The 18,341-nt window shown below is 43.1% G+C and overlaps 1 gene segment (V, D, J or C) and 1 further gene, besides 2 other annotated features; both read right to left on the bottom strand.

The window, feature by feature from the left end:
* Window positions 1-18,341, bottom strand: part of IGK (immunoglobulin kappa locus) — a 1,378,008-nt gene that overhangs the window by 196,479 nt on the left and 1,163,188 nt on the right.
* On the bottom strand, window positions 16,705-17,256 carry IGKV6D-21 (immunoglobulin kappa variable 6D-21 (non-functional)). The segment is given in 2 exon segments: window positions 16,705-17,000; window positions 17,211-17,256. Coding segments are annotated over 2 exon segments (342 nt in total), but the record flags the coding sequence as incomplete, so codon positions are not given.
* Window positions 16,990-17,000: a sequence feature (IGKV6D-21 leader sequence).
* Window positions 17,211-17,256: a sequence feature (IGKV6D-21 leader sequence).

Raw genomic sequence — 18,341 nt, 5'->3', positions numbered from 1 at the left:
TGATATGGGCTCTGGACTGCAGGGCGGCTGGGAGGGACATGCAAAGCAGCTGGGGGGGCGGGTGCTGGGCTTCCAGCTTCAGAGACCATCTGCCTCCCCTCTCTGCACTCAGCAGCCCATGCCCAGGTGATCAGGCCAGAAAAGGCCGTTGGCTCAGCCTGAGGGTAGAACTTCTCCCCTGCGGCCACAGAATTTAACCCCTGTGTCCTCTTGTCTCACCATCACTTAGATTCAGCCACAGAATGTTTGGTACAAGTCTGTTAGAAACAAAATAGAAGGCTGTGGTTTCATTTTTCTCTTTCTGCTCCAACTTGTGCCCAGTCAGTTCCCTAAATGCATGATGGATCAGGTTGAAAGGAAGAGTCTATTACTACTTTATCTTCCGGATATACTTGTATTTACTTGTTAGCAATCTTTCCTGAGGGTCCAGAGGCTGTCTCATTCTTTGCAGAAATTAAAAGAGTAACATTCAATTAACCTCAGCACTGTGAGTGTGAGGACTTTCACAACTGCACAGATAAGTGATACCTGGGCTCCAAATCCTCAGGGTAGTGATACCATTTCCCTAAAGACAGAAGATGGTTTTGTCCATGCAGGCAAAGAACTATTCCTTGGGTGATCCTCTAATCTATCCAGTCTTTTTATCCTGTATAGCTGGTATGGTTTACCCTTAGTAGGATGAAACAACCACTTCAGTCCGTGACAGGGTGAGGTCTGGGATGCAGATACAGTGTTTTGTCAAATTATCTGTGGTGGCTTGGAAGAGCCTTACAAAGACATGAAGCTTCTGGGTCTCTGCTGCCTGATCCTTGAAGAAAAAACAGATTGACAGATCAGTGCCCCACCTCCCATCCACCCCAGGATCTCAGGGATCCCCTACTCATCCACAGGGGTTGGTTTGAGTTAGTGGAGGGACTCAGTCTGTCTGTCCCTGTTCTGAGACTACTACCTCTTTGGGCACCCATTGCCATTGTTGCTTGACCCAGTCCTTTCACCCTCGGTTGTCCAGTTCTAGAAGGGAGGTCAAGTACTGTAGAAACTTGACATGTCTGATAACGTCATCCACCCTAATGGAGGAATCAGATGACCCCCGTACCAGTAGAAGGAAATTAACACCCTGATATTTCTTGATCCTGTGGAACCCACAGAAGGCACCCAGGGGAATCATTCCATCCAATTAGAGTTAGGAGGCCTGTCTGGGTTATCATGGTGGCCTAAACTGCAACACCCCCAAGAACATCACTATAAAAGGAAAAAAATGATTGGAAACCCTGAGTTTGGGATTTCACAGTGGCAGCTCTATCAGGAAACTGGCCTTGCCCAACTTCTTCCTCACTCAACTCAGTGTTTTTCAACCTGCACCTCCGTGCCGTCTTTCCCTTGCTCTGCAGTGCAGTGTTTAATGTCCATTTGCTGTGGTCAGATGGGGTACCACTCTATTAGCAGGTTGTCCTGATGTACACTCTTCAGTTGCTGTGTGAGTCAGCTGTTCTAGCATTAAATAGATCCATTGGCCTTTGGATAACAAGGTGTATGGAAAGTCCATCACGTCCCATGAGAGTGTGTCCATTGACATCATTTGGGCAGTAAAGAACTTTCCTTGGTCAAAGCAAAGTCTCAGTGGGCATCCAAAAACATGGCATAAGTTCATCTCAAGGGTGGTCATGGTAGTCCCAGCATCCAGCTGAGTGACATATTTGTCTCTTACAGGTGGCAAGCTGTTGCCATAGTCCTTTTCTCCACAGAGGGGATGCTTTAATAGTCCAGTCACTCGGTTACTATTTTCCTGATCAGATAGCTAGACTGTTGGCAGTGGCCCATGAGTTGGTAAAAATATAGCAAGAGGTGGCAGAAAGGCCTGCATGACCATTACCACTGCATGTAGTTTGGACCATTGGGTGGAATGACCATCATCAGTCTCAGGAAAGAAAATAGTCATCCACTGGCTAGATGGTAGCCACCCCCAGTCTGCATGTTTTGCAGAGCCCTAAGTGAACCATGCCATACCGATGTCGGCATGTCTCTGAATCTTGGACTTCGGGTAGCCAAAAGCAGAGCCAAACCATCCCCCATGGGTCATTTAGTCCCTTCTAGCAAGCTCGCCATTTGTTTATGGAGCCTTCAGATCCCACGGGTTGCTGGCTGGGCCTGATTCTGAATATACCATTTCCATTTGATAATGCAGCTCTATTGAGCCTGTCCAGTTTCACTGGTTGGATTTTTGCACCCAAGTGAAAAGGAGCAGTTCACCCAGCAGCGCCACACTTGGTGCTCAGCCCCAAGCTGTCCAGTCCCTGTCAGTTTCCAATAGCAAGCAAGGAGTTGCCTTGCCAAAGAGGGACATCTGGTGGCTGCTTCAGCTGGTTTATGTGTTCAGTATCTGAGAGGCTGGCTCACTCAGTGACAATTTTCTGTTGCCACATACTCCAGTCAGCATACATAGAGACTGTGGACACCTGAACTTCCATCAGGCTAACAGGCTCTAAAGGTCTAAAAGAAGTGTTTGGACCATGTCCTGTTGAACTTCTTCCAAGGCTGCTGTTGCAAAGGGCTCTGTTCAAGGTTGGTGGTTTTGTTTGTGATTTTGATTTTGACTAAGTGGACTAAAAGCCCACCCCAGAGAGGTTTATGCTGTTTCCAATACTCAAAGAAGCCTACCAGCTGTTGTCCTTTTTATTAATGGTTGCTGCTAGTACCAACAATGTTTAACTATATCCGCGATCCTTCCTTGGTTTCCTGTCCAAGTGGCCTTAGCATTCAACGTGAAATAGTCCATTGTTAGTCTCTGTTCCCCTAAAGTCTTTTTGCCCCGCCAAACTGAGTTGCTCCATGGTGACAGGGGACTATGTAACATTTTAATCTGTTTGTAGCAAGTCTTGAAAAAAACAGGTAATGTCTTATTCTTCACTTAGTACACAGTACTGTTTTTGTCAAATAACCCACGGAGTCATGCGTAGCTTAGGTGGTAGGCTTCAGTGGATATTCCCTTTTGTTAAGGCTTGAATTCTTAGCTGCAAGGGAATATACCTTTTATGCAGCAGTGATGTTCTGTGGTGCAAATATCAATGCCTGTACTGCACTCTGAGGTGGGAACTACAGTCACCAGCCCCAACATGGCCCGCAGGGCACCATCCACAAGCAGAGAAGCACCATGGCCACTGCATTTGTCCCTGAACCTCTCAATGTCATTGGTTAAATTTTCCCCAATGGAGACCTATGGGCTCTGGCACCCAAAAACCCAGAAAAGTATTTCCTTATTTTCTCCTTTTATTTTTACATGGTCTAGGGCCACTGGTTTCTGGTGAGCACCCAAAGGCATTGGCTGTATCCCTAACTGTGATATTTAGATCAAGAAATTTGGAACTGCAAATATTGCTTTATCAAACAAATACACCAAACAGTCTGCATAGGCCTTCCCTGAACTTTTTCTGTATCTCTTATTTAGAGAGTGAGTCTCCCTTTGTGTGAAAGCCCAAATAGCATATGTTGGTTCCCTCTCAGGGATCTTAGGGTCCATTTGAGTACCCGTTTCCCTAGCTCTCTGGCTCCAGGAATGAGCAATCATGTAAGTGTCTACGAACCAGAGGATTTTGTGCCTCATTCTCATTTCTACACTCCTTTCTCTCTGCCTTAATTCAGGCAGCCAGCTCATCTAAACTCATGGAGAGAGTGATCTATAACCCACTGATCCTCCCTCATTCCCCATAAAGCACCCAGATGCATGTCCAGGCCTTGCACCTTCCAGTCTAATGGTCCTCCCCTGGCCAAGTAATGGGAGGTATCATTCTTCCCACTTCACCAATAAGCCATGGTTCTGTCATACTAGAATCTTCTCAATGGGGCAATTTTGTTAAGCAGGTTAACTGTGCAGTGATTACCAACTTATTTGAGTCCAGGGAGATAAAACACCCTTACACAACTAGTTATGTGAAGCAATTTACAATTTACAGACAGGCAGCAAGGGATAGCAAAATCCAAGAATTTATTGTAGGTCTGTTCCCCCAAGGCTCAGGAAAGCTGCCTGGGGCTAATGGGGTCTAGACTGTGCTTCATATACACTGCAGCTGAGGCACTCTTGATTGGACCCACCCTGGGTTTTATATCTTGGAGTCACATATCATGCTGAGCTAAAGTGTTGAAGGAAATCCTGTTTCAAGAGGGTGTGGCAGGACAATACTCCCTGTCAATTGGACAGACAGGTCTGCATGACAGTCACACAGACAGGCCTGTGTAGCAGTCCAGTTATACCAACAAATTTCCACAGCACTGCCTTAACACTGAGCAAATAATTAAACCTAGGGGAATCGGTTCCCAGGCATCAAAGCTAGAAGTAAAACATAGGTCAGTGGGAGGCTTGCACAGGCTTCTCCCTAACCTCAAGCAAGTCAAAATAATGGAGACAGCCTTACATTCCTAGTGCCAGGACCCGTCTTGGGTCAATAAAATGAGATGAGTCAAGGTAACAGAGGCAGCTGTTTGAATAGATTCACTGGAGAGTCTAAGGCAGCTCTCTGGACCAAGCTGTAAATGAGATAAGATAGAAATAATCACTCCGGTACCACAGTCCTCACTGATTAGAATTTAGGAGACAGGTCTTGAAGGTACTGGGACCCTCACAGCTTAATCGGACTTAGCATTTCTTTGGCCTCTGACCTAGTTGAAACAAAATTAGTTGCCTATAGACTTAGGCAAATGTTATATTGCACATAGGCACATAATGCCAACCTATATAAGCACTAAGAAAATGGTAACACTTTCAGCCTGGCCAACATGCTGAAACCCCGCCTCTACTAAAACTACAAAAATTAGCCAGGTGTGGTGGTGGGCGCCTGTAGCCCCAGCTACTCAGGAGACTGAGGTAGGAGAATCGCTTGAACCTGGGAGGCAGAGGTTGCAGTGAGCTGAGATCATGCCACTGCACTCCAACCTGGGCAACAGAGTGAGACTCCATCAGAGAAGGAAAGAGAGAGAGAGAAAGAAAGAAAGAAAGAAAGAAAGAAAGAAAGAAAGAAAGAAAGAAAGAAAGAAAGAAAAGAAAAGAAAGAAAGAAAAGAAAGAAAGAAAGAAAGAAAGAAAGAAAGAAAGAAAGAAAGAAAGAAAGAAAGACGGAAGGAAGGAAGGAAGGAAGGAAGGAAGGAAGGAAGGAAGGAAGGAAGGAAGGAAGGGAGGGAAGGAAGGGAAGGAAAATTATAACACTTGGAGTTGGTCTGGTGATATTATCTCTGACCTTCTTCCTGTATCCAGTTAAATTCCCTTCTTTCTTAGTTTGTCTGCTTCTAGTTATTGGGCCATGAGAACATGCAGCCAGAACTCGGCACAAGGGGATTGGAACAGAGCCTGTGCTGTGGTGGCCAATACTGCCCTATCTCAGGATGTTACATTCCCAGGATATTCTACAGTGATTCTTGAAAACTAAGAGTGAGAAAAGGGAGGAGACTGGGTTGGTCCAAGGCCAACTGGAGACTGTGCTGCAAATACTATAGTGGGATGACACCTCATTAGTCCTGTGGCTTGCTGATTTTGCTGAGCATAGTGCCTTCACTGTTCATCTATGTGGGAGCCTGTGTCAGAATTTCCTTCCTTTGGAAAGTTGAATAACATTCCATTGCATATATATTTATATGCCACATTTTGTTTATCCACCCTTCCCTGCATGAACATTTGAGTTGATTCCACCTTTTGGCTATTATGAACAATAATTCTCTGAATGTGGGTATATAAATATTTCTTCAAGTTAATGTTGTCAGTTATTTGGATATATGTCCAACGGTGGAATTGCTGAATTATATAGTATTTCTATTTTTAATTTATTGAGGAATTGCAATGTAGTTTCTTATACTAGGTGACCATTTTACATCCCCAAAACAGTGTCCACAAGATTTCCAATTTCTCCAAATTCTCATGAACAGTTTTCATTTTCTGTTGAGGGAAACCATCCTAAGAGGTATAAGGTGGATTTTGTTTTCATTGCCCTAAGAATTAGTGATGTGGAGCATCTTTTTCTGTGTTTATTGGCTCTTCATCAGTCTTCACTGGAGATGGTTAATATTGAGTGTCAAGTTGATTGGATTGAAAGAGGCAAAGTATTGTTCCTGGGTGTGTCTGTGAAGGTGTTGCCAAAGGAGATTAACATTTGAGTCAGTGGTCTGGGAAAGGCAGACCCACCCTCAATCTGGGTGGGCACCATCTAATCAGCTGCCAGTGCAGCTAGGATAAAAGCAGAAAGCAGGCAGAGGAATGTGGAAGGACTAGGCTGGCTAAGTCTTCTGACCTTCATCTTTCTCCCATGCTGGATGCTTCCTGCCCTCAAACATCAGACTCCAAGTTCTTCAGCTTTTGGACTCTTGGACTTACGCTGGTGGCTTGCCAGGGTATTGTCAGCCTTCAGCCACAAACTAAAGGCTGCACTGTCGGCTTCCCTACTTTTGAGGTTTTGAGACTCAAACTGGTTTCCTTCCTCCTCAGCTTGCAGACAGCCTATTGTGGGACTTCACCTTGTGACTGTGTGAGTCAACATTCCTTAATAAACTCCCTCTCATTTATACATCTATCCTATTAGCCCTTTCCCTCTAGAGAACCCTAATTCAGGAATGGTCAGGAAGCAATTAATTTCCCTTTACCAATCTATTTTAGATTGTCTTTGTGCAATGAATTTTTTCTGGGTTAGTAAATTAAAGGAGCCTCTAAAACTAGCTACACATTGTGAAGTCCACATTAGAGGCAGTGGAATAAGTGTCCCCCAGCATTTAAAACCCAAAGATTTGAGGGCCCTGAATCTAAGATTTTTTCTAGCTCTCTTGCTTCATAAATATGCCCTCTGATTTTTAATTCTACCTTAGAGAAGGACAATTGTGGGGAAGATATTAATTGTGGGCGAAATGAAGAATGCCCACATCCCGTCCATGTCCTAGTACCTAGAACCTATGAATTCTAACTTACGTAGCAAAAAAAAAAAAAAAAAAAAAAAAATCCCAAAACTTAGTGGATGCAACTTACTTAAGGATTAAGGATTTTGAGTTTGGGAGAAACTCCTAGATCATCCAGATGAGATCAATATAATCACGAAGGTCCTTATAATTGGGAGGGAGGAGGGTCGCAGTTAGATAGGAGCTGGGACAATGGAGAGGGATACTGGAGTGATGGAAAAATGGGTCATGGAGCCAGGAATGTTGAGGCATCTTTTTTTTTTTTTTTTTTTTTTTTTTTTTTTTGAGACAGAGTCTCACTCTGTCGCCCAGGCTGGAGTGCAGTGGCGCAATCTGGGCTCACTGCAAGCTCCGCCTCCCGGGTTTACACCATTCTCCTGCCTCAGCCTCCCAAGTAGCTGGGACTACAGGTGCCCACCACAACGCCTGGCTAATTTTTTATATTTTTAGTAGAGATGGGGTTTCACCGCGTTAGCCAGGATGGTCTCGATCTCCTGACCTCATGATCCGCCCGCCTCGGCCTCCTAAAGTGCTGGGGTTACAGGCGTGAGCCACTACACCCGGCCTAGGCATCTTGAAGATTAAAAAGGAAAGAATCAGATTCTCTCTCCTAGAGCCTCTAGAAGGAATAGAGCCCTATGTCTCCTTGATATTAGCTCAGTTAGACTTCTCATCTCCAGAACCATAAGATAATAAATTTGTTAGAAGCCAGAAATATTGTGGCAATTTAACCAGTAGCAATTGGAAACTAATGCAAGGGGAAAAATGTCTTTTACATCTCTGAGTGTGTGGTGTCCTCTGTTCTCCCAAACATTCCATGTTGTTATAATCTGGTGCCAGTTTTGACAAGAGATGTAAACCATTTTCTATGAGAACTTGTACCAGGATTCTTCTTAGGTAGAAAATGTCTAGAGTAAACCCTTTGATTAGCTCTTTTCCAATGTGTGTTGGAGAGTTAAGGGATCAGGTCTCATAGCACCTGATAGAAAGCGGAGGGTTTGTTTGTTTGTGTGTTTGTTTTCATGTTTGGCAGGAAAGTTAGAACACAACCTGACAAGGAAAAACTTAGAGAGATTGGAATCTGAGAAGGAAAGACTTAGAGAGACTGGAAGGGAAAGAGAAGATGTGAACAGGGTCAGGGGAAAGCAAGATGTGTTCCTACTCCAAAATATAAAGCAAAGTCATTTACAAGTTTTAAAGACTTCGAGAGGGTTATATTTTGAAGAGAAAACCACAGAAGGGGCTAGTTTAAGATTAGGGCCAGCCTGGCATGAGACAGAGGCAGCAGGGAGCTGTGGATTCCACACTGTTTTTATGGTCCCTTCTTCCTATTTATAGGCTTTGGGCTCAACCATGGGATGAAAGTGGCCACGTAGAAGGAACATACTAAAGCCAGACAGACCTGGGCTTCAATCCCAAGTCTGACCATGTGACTTTGGGCATTTGCTGACCATGTGACTTTTGGCAAACCAGTCATGAGCTCTCATAGCTGGTTCTCTCATATGTGAAATGGAGCACTTTGGAAGTCATGGGGTATTGTGAGAGTTTAACCAAATGATGCACCCTGAAGAGTGTATATGTGTGCCCATAAACATACACACACACACATTATATGCACATTTTATATACCCAGTTTTCTTTAAATGCACCCTTGAGTATCTTAGAAAAAGAGGCTATGGAAGATATTATTAACCATATGTCATTTTCAAATCAAATTCTTTAATAGTTATTCTACAACTAACATGTGACTCACTATAGGCAATGGGGTTTCATGTACATTATTTCCACAATAAAAACTTCCATAAATCCATTCCTGTGTAGCACTAGAAACATAAACAAGATGACAAATGACTATAACACCTTTAAACCAGATTTCCCCTGAGCTCCATCTGTTTAGTGTACACTATTGGGTTCCAAAGGCCGTGGCTACAGGTCTGAGTTCTAAATCCATTCTTCCCACACCCACAGCCTTCCCCCAGGTCTCATTCTGGCCTCCTGCATGCTGGGAATACAGACCCACCATCCTGCTACTCTCCTGGGAATCCAGCACTAACTACCTGGAAGCTTTGCTTAGTAAACGCTCCAAATGCAACCTCTGACAGAGACCTGGCTGAGGCAGCCAGCAACTTCCCATAAGAAAACCACTGAGAAGGGAGGAAACTTGCAGAACCATGTTGGTGTTGAGGAAATGCACAGTATCACCAGGTTTTATCTTTTCAAACGGTTCCTGTCTCTTTCTTGACAACAATTCATGACCTTGGAAAAGGGAGGAATTAAGGAGAACAAAGGGATGTTTCATGCTTAGGATATAAAAGGAGAAATGGAGATAATGAAAGAGCAGAATTGAGGAACTCTTTGGCATTGTTTGGGTTTCTCTTGCCATGGGCATAGCAGGACGAAGGTGCCAGGGAGAATATCACTTATCATGTTTCCTGCCCTTCATGCCTCAGACTCTTACAAACACACACACTTCTGATAATATGTTTCTTCTTCTGAAGCACAGTCTGTGGCCCAGCCAGGATCTTTCTCTTAAGTGTCTTTTATAGATAAGTTGGAATAATTTTAGAAACAAGTCAAAGAAATAATAGTAATGGTTTAAGTAATGACAAGAAGTCTGAAGGTTGAAGCACTTAAGGTTGGTACAACAGCTTGGTGACAGCTGAAAGGCCCCAGATTGTTACTACATTTTTGCTTTGCACCTGCATTATCACTGGCTTTTCATTCTTGTTGTAAATGCCCCATGGTCTCAAGAGGATTGCGGCAGCTCTAAGCATCATATCCTCTCTTAACTGTTACAGGAAGAAATGCAAAGCAAAGCTCTTCACTTTCTGTCCTTTTCTGAGGTATAACCATTTTCCCATGATCCCTGCCCACTCCTCTGACATTATCATTTTGGAGCTGATCACATGTGCCCTTAATCCCTGCTCCCATCCTGAGCTGGGAGAAACTCACCACCCTCACCATGTACGGCAAGACATAGTTGGTGCCCTATACACCAAAGGAAGAAGGGGATGACTGCTGCATAGCTGCCAAGAGCTTTGTCACATTTTAAATTTCGCTGTGCTTCTAAGTTAAGTTGTATAGGGAGGAGAACGTATGAACACTTCGATCTGATACAGCTGGAAGAAGCCAGGCTCTGAGGATGAAAATGAAATCAAATTTCTGATTTCTCATACGACATCTTTAGCTTTAAGAATTGCGTAAATGTGGCCTGTGCATTTAAGACCAGGACAGGCTTTCAGTTATGGGAATAAATGAGGAGAGATTTGGAATAGGGTCCTCAACCCAGGACTAAGGTGAAGCTTGCACAACTTGAGACTGCTGGGCTCTGGCCCTGGGCTGTGGAGGAAGTAGCTGCTCTCTTGAGCCATGGGGCTGAGGACTTGGGAGGAACCAAAGGTCCTGCCCACAGAGCTGCCTGGCAGGGTTTCAGGGAAGGAAACTGCTCATACTTCTATGGGCGCTGCACCAAGCATAGAGTCCACTGCCAGTGTGAAAGTCTCAGATACACGACCCTTAGGGCTGGGCCTGAGCTCCTGGAGCTGGCTGCTCTCAGCTCTGTCCTCACTGATTCTGCATGGCTGGGGCCCTGCTGGAGTCAAAGAAGGAGGAACAGCAAATGTCCCCAGAGTCTTTACTCAGCCAGGCTCTGTTCTGGTTAGAAAGAAAAAGAACACATGCTAAATAAACAAACTTAAAATTACGTGCATAGGTATATATTTGCAATGTAACCCTTACAAATTAAATATACATATAATATTTTAGATATAAGTAATTAACAAACATAAAATTACATGCATAGGTATATATTTGTAATGTAACCCTTACATATTAAATATACATATAATATTTTAGATATAAATTATATTTATACATTTGGATATACTGTGCATCTATATTAGGAATAAGTATAATATGCACACTTATATGTTAATAGATATAACTTTAATTGTCAGTGTAAGATATGATTTTTAAACTTTGATAAATTGAGCACAAACATTTAAAACCAGCAATGGTTGCACCACCCCATGGCCCCTTCATCACTACACAGCCTGAGGGTCAGGAAGCTCAGGACCAAACCTACATCCATTCTGGGCTGAGCAGTACCTCCCTGCCCATTGCTAAGGACACTGACTGTCCTGACGGGGGTCTGGGGAATCACAGAGCAGCAGGTGCTGGGGAGATGGGCAGTGGGTCTAGACCCCAACTGGAGGGACTTTTGTCCCCAGAGCTCAGGGTGGGCAGGTCCTCCCCTGGTGGCCTTTGTGAGACAGAGTAGCACACATGGCCCAGTGGCTGTGTGGTAACAGGGAGAAACCATTCCAGGGACCATTGGCAGCCTCCCCTCTGCCTGGATTCAGCCCACATCAGGTAGGGTTTGGGGATACAGCCAACGCGGTGGGGAGGAAAAGGCTGGGCTTCCAGTCTCAGAGCACAGAGCACAGAGGGAGTTTCCCACAACTCAGTGCACTGGCAGCTCCTCCCATGTAATCTAGGTCATAAATGAGACCTCATTTTAGCCCTAAAATATCCCTGTTGATTTTCCTAGTATTTCTAAGATCAGGCTTATTTCTGGTGTTTACTGTGGGGTTTGTCTGCCATCTAATGGCTGGTTGGTGACATAGCATCTTATAGGATTTTAGATGCTGAGTCCCAGTCAATCTTGACGGTGAGTCTTTTCATGGGTAATGATGAAGCAGATCCTATTACATCCATCAGTAGGCCAGATCCTATAAGGAACACAGAATGACACCTCTCCTTGATAAACCAGTCCCAAAGTTGAGGACAAGGGATATCCAGAAAAGATGTTGCTCACAAAACGATTAGGAATTAGGTTCTGAAATCCATGTGAAATGCTGAAAATGTAGTTTTGGAAGAGAGAAAAAGGGGTGTGAGAGACCCTGCCGGGCATAATGGCAGGGGCTGGAGAGGAAATCCAAGGTCCTCTTTTATGGATCTGTCAGCCCAGGCTCATTCCCGTTATTCTGGAAACTCTTCCAGAGCAGATCTGAGGACCACAGTGGTTGCACCAGCTGGAGAGCTTCTGAGGACTCCCAGTTTTCCAGACTAACGGCTGGTGAGATTTATGCTCTGAGCTATAACACAATGAGGGAACACTTGTCAACATTTAGAGCGGTTTTAAGCAAAATAATTTTCTAAGACAATAAAAATGTCTACATTTATGCTGTACAATAGGGTAGCCATTAGTCATATGTGGCTACTGAACACTTGAAATGTAGCTAGTGTAACTGAGAAAACATGTTTTTAATTTTTAATTCTAATTCACATTATTTGTGGCTGGGCACTGCAAGTGTTTACCAGGTGAGAGGATACAGTTTCAGACAATAATAATCAGCAATGTCATCAGGGTACCCGAGCTGCTGAAAGTTAAGGAAGTGTCTGCCCCAGGACCACCGTGCCAAGCAGGGGTGGACCATGGCCAATGTAGACAAAGCACATGGGTGGATCTTTGAAACCTTCCCTGGATTCATCTGCTTCTAGGCTGGTGATGGAAACTCTCTCTCTGTCTTGGAGATACTGAGGGAGAAGCTGGAATCTGGGGCCCACAATGTTGCCACTGGAATCTGAGGTGGAAACAAAACACAACTCTTCCCCAGTGTTAATGATGTCTCACTCTACAGGCCTCCCAGAGACTCGTGTTGGCTGATCAAGCGGGAGATGAATGCTGGGCTTGCTGAGCGATGGTCTGTATCTCAGCACGGGACATAAGAACCCTGTCACATGGAGCTCCCATAGCTGATGCCAGGACCCAAGGGCCAGAGCCCCAGGTCCAGTGCTTCCTCTGCCTCAGGTGATCCCACCCTAAAGGCAGCAACCAACCCACTGATAAGGGCTTGAGTGGCAGGGAGGGGCTTTGTGGAGCCTGCAGACTTACAACAGGGATGCAAAACTGAACTTCCAGCTTCTGAGCCAGGGAACATTTCATGTTATGGGTGTGACCCAGGTCAAGGTGTTTGATGAAAGATATTAGTATAAATTTTCTCCTTAAAGGAATAAAATCACAGAAGACATCTTATTATTATGGTACTGGTTGGCTTTTTCAATGCACAATGGTTTACCTGAAATCTCCCAGTCCCTGCCCTTCTCGTGATGATCCTATGGTCTTTGCTGTTCCTATGGTCACTTGGCTGCCTCCTCACCGTTCAGAAGCATCTCCAGTATGACCCCGAGACCTTCCCTGGTCCGCACAAATAAATGGTCTCGGCCTCCAGATACCACATGCCACTGCCTGAATTTTATACAATTTATCAGCTATTGAAATGATTCTTTTCACTTTCACTGTGTAGGTATTGTTCTCTGAATGGCTCATTTCCCTACTGAATATCAGTACTTGGGATCAAAAATTGTCTTATTTACTCAAATGCTCCTAACCCTCACATGATGGCTTTGAATTGTTCCTGAAAACTCCGATATTATGTTAAAATCCATTAAATGCAAAAATATGTTTATTTTTTATTGAAGAAGATATCATGGCTTCCCCTCAGCTAAAGACAATTAACTACTTTTATAGTTGAAAAAGATCCACTGGACATGAAAGAAACACATATATAGGAGTAACAAGCATCATCTTGAAATTAGATAAACTCGATTTTCATGTAAGATGTCCAGTAGGCAGAAGAAAGGCCCTCACAGTGGGAGGGGCTTGATGGAGAGGGTCAGGGTGTCTGTCCCTGGAAGGTGGGGGAGGGTGTGATGAGTGACCTCAGGCAAGCATCCAATATCAGGACCAGACATGACTATGAGTAATTCCTTTTTCCATGGGTTTTGATGCAAGAGGAAAGTCCTGATGGGGAAGCTTTGGGAATAGTCATAGCATGAGTGGAATACGGGTTGGAAACAGCATGTTTCTAAACACATACAAACAGCTCACAGACATTCAAACAAAAGTATCTCACAAAATGTTACCTCTTCCTCACCTTTTCTTGCCATTTGGGTTTAACCAATCATGGCACACAATTTGAGTTTCTCTACATGAGGGTCTGCAACTTGAAACTACCCTGTGAAAGAACTGGTGACTGTCTGCCTGATACCATAATGTAGAAATACAATTTCTTGTAGTAGATCATTGCACTTTGGTGTAAAATATATGTGATAAAAAATGTATTGAAAACCGATATAACTTTTTGTGACCAAATACGGTGAAAGTCACTCACAAAAATATCACCAAATCTGATATGTCTGTTTTCTCAATGACTACATTGTATGCCAAAAATTATTTTTGAATGAGTGACTTAATGTGCACAGGAAACAAAGTAAAACAAATAAGCTGAGTTGCTCTTGGTATTAAAAAATTCTAGGAGCAGGATACTGGTCCTATAATCAAGAATGGTGAAATTTTTTTTTTAAAAAAAGAAAATTCAAACTGCAGTTTGGATTTTGGAGGTGGATGAAAGAGGACATAAACAATACCTCTGATACACAGAAAAGAATATTTACTCTCAGGGTGGAGGGTTGCCCCCCTGTATTTCATATGTCAGGGCAAGATATAACATAAAATGCCCATTGAGTTTTCCACCTCATCTGAGCTCCCAGACTATTTTCTCTGACATGTTAGTGCCTTGGTACACTCAACTTTTGGTGAAGTTATTCTTATTAGGGAATCGAGGATTCTTAATTTCAACTTCCTTGGGCCTGGAATCTTGTCCTGCTCCCTAGACTGGCAACAAAGGGCTCTGGATCCTTCTGGTTTTTTATTCCAGGTAAATGTTCTTTTTGGAAAAGTCTCCTTTTCAAAATCCCAAGAGAAATGTCTATAGTTACATTTTCCGTGGACCAGTTTTCAGAAATCGCAACCCAAATATTCAGCATTTCCTGAATTCTCAGTTGAATGCCGCACTGGTGAAAGTGAACCTTAACGTTAATCTGACTTAACAAACATCATGCTTCAGGGGGCTGCTTTGGAAATAGAATTAATTTGTCACACCCGTGAACCCACAATAACTGAAACCTCAATCCATGGGATCTTCTGTCACTATAGCTCTAGGCCATCACCTGCTTGTTTCCTAATCTTTACCCTTTTAAACTCTTTTGCTATAAATGAGAAACTGTAGCTCTGAAGAGAAATCTAAAGTTTTTACCAACTTGTAAAAGATAGTTTATGGAAAGAAAAGGGAGAGGTGACCTTCAACAACTGTCCATGTAGTTTGAAAGTAAATATGGGTAAAGACGAAAGTATGTCATTATGGTCTTAATTTGCATTTTCCTGATAATTAGTGATGTGGAGCATTTTTCTATGTATTTGTTGGCGGTTTGTATATCTTCTTTTGAGAATTGTCTGTTCATATTCTTTGCCCACTTTTTGGTGGGATTATTTGTTTTTTTCTTACTGATTTGTTTGAGTTCCTCATAGATTCTGGTTATTCCTTCAACAGATGCACAGTTTGTGAATATTTTCTCCCACTTTGTGGGTTGTCTGTTTGCTATGTAGAAGCTTTTTAGCTTAGTTAGGTTCCATTTATTTATTTTTTGTTTTTGTGGCATTTCCTTTTGGGGTCTTAGTCATGAATTCTTTCACTAAGCCAAGGTCTAGAGGAGTTTTTCCAATGTTATCTTCTAGAATTTATATGGTTTCAGTTCTTAGATTTAAGCCTTTGATTCATCTTGAGCTGATTTTCGTATAAGGTGAGATATGAAGATCCAGTTTTATTCTTCTACCTGTGGCTTGCCAGTTTTTCCAGTACCAATTATTGAATAGGGTGTCCTTTCCCCACTGTTTGTTATTGTATGCTTTGTTGAAGATCAGTTGGTTATAAGCATTTGGGTTTATTTCTGTGTTCTCTATTGTGTTCCATTGATCTATGTGCCTATTTTTATACTAGAACCATGCTGTTTTGGTAACCATAGCCTTGAAATACCACCTTACTCATGCAAGAATGGCCATAATTAAAATGTCAAAAAATAATAGATATTGGCATGGATGTGGTGAAGAGGGAACACTTTTACACAGCTGGTGGGAATGTAAACTAATACAACCACTATGAAAAACAGTATGGAGATTCCTTAAAGAACTAAAAGTAGAAATACCATTCAGTTCAGCAATTCCAGTACTTATTTTTCTTATCTACCCAAAGAAAAAAAAAGTTAGTATAGGAAAAAGAAACATGCACATGCATGTTTAGTCCAGCACATTTCTCCATTTCAAAAATATGGAACCACCATAAGTGCCAATCAAGCAACGGGTGGATAAAGAAAATGTGGTGTATATACACCACGAAATACTTCTCAGCCATAAAACAGAACAGAACAAAATAATGACCTTTGCAGCAACATGGATGAAGCTGGAGGCTATTATTCTAAATGAAGTAACTCAGGAATGGAAAACCTATATGTTTTCATCTGTAAGTGGGAGCTAAGCTATGAGGATGCAAAGGCGTAAGAATGATATAATGGACTTTGGGGACTGGGGAGGAAGGATAGAAGGGGAGGTGAAGGCTAGAAGACAACATATTGGGCACAGTATGCACTGCTCAAGTAACAGGTCCACCAAAATCTCAGACATCACCACTAAAGAACTTATCCATGTAAATAAAAACCACCTATACCCCCAAAAACTATTGAAATAAATCATTTTTAAAAAGATGAAAGTATGCAGCAGTGACTCTAGTTTCCTCTCTGCTGGGTGAGCCAGACTTCATTGTATTGGTTAACTCATTGCCCCCAAAGCACCTGCAACAATCAGAAGTATTCTAGGGTATCACCCAGTTTCTCCGTTCAGCCAGGCTGAACTAGTTTTTGTTCTGGGTTGTAACACAGTGTGAGGTAAACTACTACTCTGATGACAGTAATACGCTGCAGCATCTTCAGCTTCCAGGCTATTGATGGTGAGGGTGAAATCTGTCCCAGATCCACTGCCACTGAACCTCGAGGGGACCCCTGAGATGGACTGGGAAGCATACTTGATGAGGAGCTTTGGAGACTGATCTGGTTTCTGCTGGTACCAGTGTAAGCTACTACCAATGCTCTGACTGGCCCGGCAGGTGATGGTGACTTTCTCCTTTGGAGTCACAGACTGAAAGTCTGGAGACTGAGTCAGCACAATTTCACCCCTGGAGGCTGAAAATATACAGCAAACATCAGTACAACATAAATATCTGTGTATGAAAATCACCTTTAATCTTGCTAGACATGAAGAAAGAATATGCATTACATTTTTAAAATTAGGATTTTAAAATCAAGCCAAAAATCACCTATTGCAGAGTCCCCAATGAAAGAAATTACAGATTGAAAGAATATCTCCGCCTAGGTTTGTGGAAATATTCTCACCTGGAACCCAGAGCAGCAGAAACCCAATGAGTTGTGATGGCGACATCTTCCTGCCTTGACTTGTCAGTTTTGCTCATGCCACATCCCAGAGAAAGAACCTCTTTTAAGATACCGAGAGGCAGGGCCTCTTCACATATAGGAGGAACGATACATGCAAATTATGGGGATGTCCTGCTGGTTTAAATAAACAGAAATCACTGTTGCCAGGAGAGCGCCCTCCCGGCCCCTTCCATGAGGGGTGTGAAGCGCCCTCTGCTGGCACCTGCAGACGAGCTCCGCTGAGGCTCTGGCAGGGCTTGACCAGACCCCAGGGCACAGCTGCAGAGTGAAGGCAGAGTCCATCGCCATCTCTGGGAGAGTCTGCAGTTATCTGGGGTGAATAACAGCTCACATCCTCAGTCTCGTCCCAGGGCTATGTTAACTCTCCTGCTCTCTGTCACAATGTAGGCTGAAAAAGCTTTGTGAACGTTCCACAAAGCATCAACACTATATTGATGACATCATGGTAATTAGACGTGATGAGCTGGACATTGTAAGAACTCTGAATTTCTTGTGAAAACACATGTGCTCTAGAGGGTGGGATGCACGCCCCAAAACATCAAGGGCTTGTCACATTAGAGAAGATGTCAAGTGTTTATAAAAGGGGTATGAGTCATGCTGGCTTATCCCCTCCAAAGTAAGGAAAAATAATTGCACCTTGTACTTCCAACCACTAGCAATGAAGCACATTACTGGTTAAGCCATCCTAGAGTGTTGACAATGCATTTTGCACTTGGGTTTACTATACCATCCCATTTATCAGCTAACTTGGAAGGCTGTCTTTTATGAATAAACTCTGAGAAAGAAAATATTCTGTAGTAAGTTTGAGTTTTAATGCAAATGCCTCTGTCACTTCAGCCATGAGATCCAGCACATTGCCTGGTGCTAGATAATCTATATTAGATGAGGAAACTCTGTAAACCTCCATGCAAGCACCAAAAAAGAGTCACAGAAAAAAATCTCTACAGTTCTTGAGCAAGATCCTGAAATGCCCCCAAAATAAACAAACAAACAACACACAAACAACTCACTACTCAAAATGCAGCTCTCAAAATATCACAGGGTCCATGTAGGCATGTCCATGAGTAGTTG

The sequence above is a fragment of the Homo sapiens genome, chromosome 2 (genome assembly GCF_000001405.40).
Source record: "Homo sapiens chromosome 2, GRCh38.p14 Primary Assembly".
Classification (NCBI taxonomy): Eukaryota; Metazoa; Chordata; class Mammalia; order Primates; family Hominidae; genus Homo; species Homo sapiens.
Note: the sequence above shows the minus strand (reverse complement) of the source record. Positions and strands in the feature narration are given on the sequence as shown.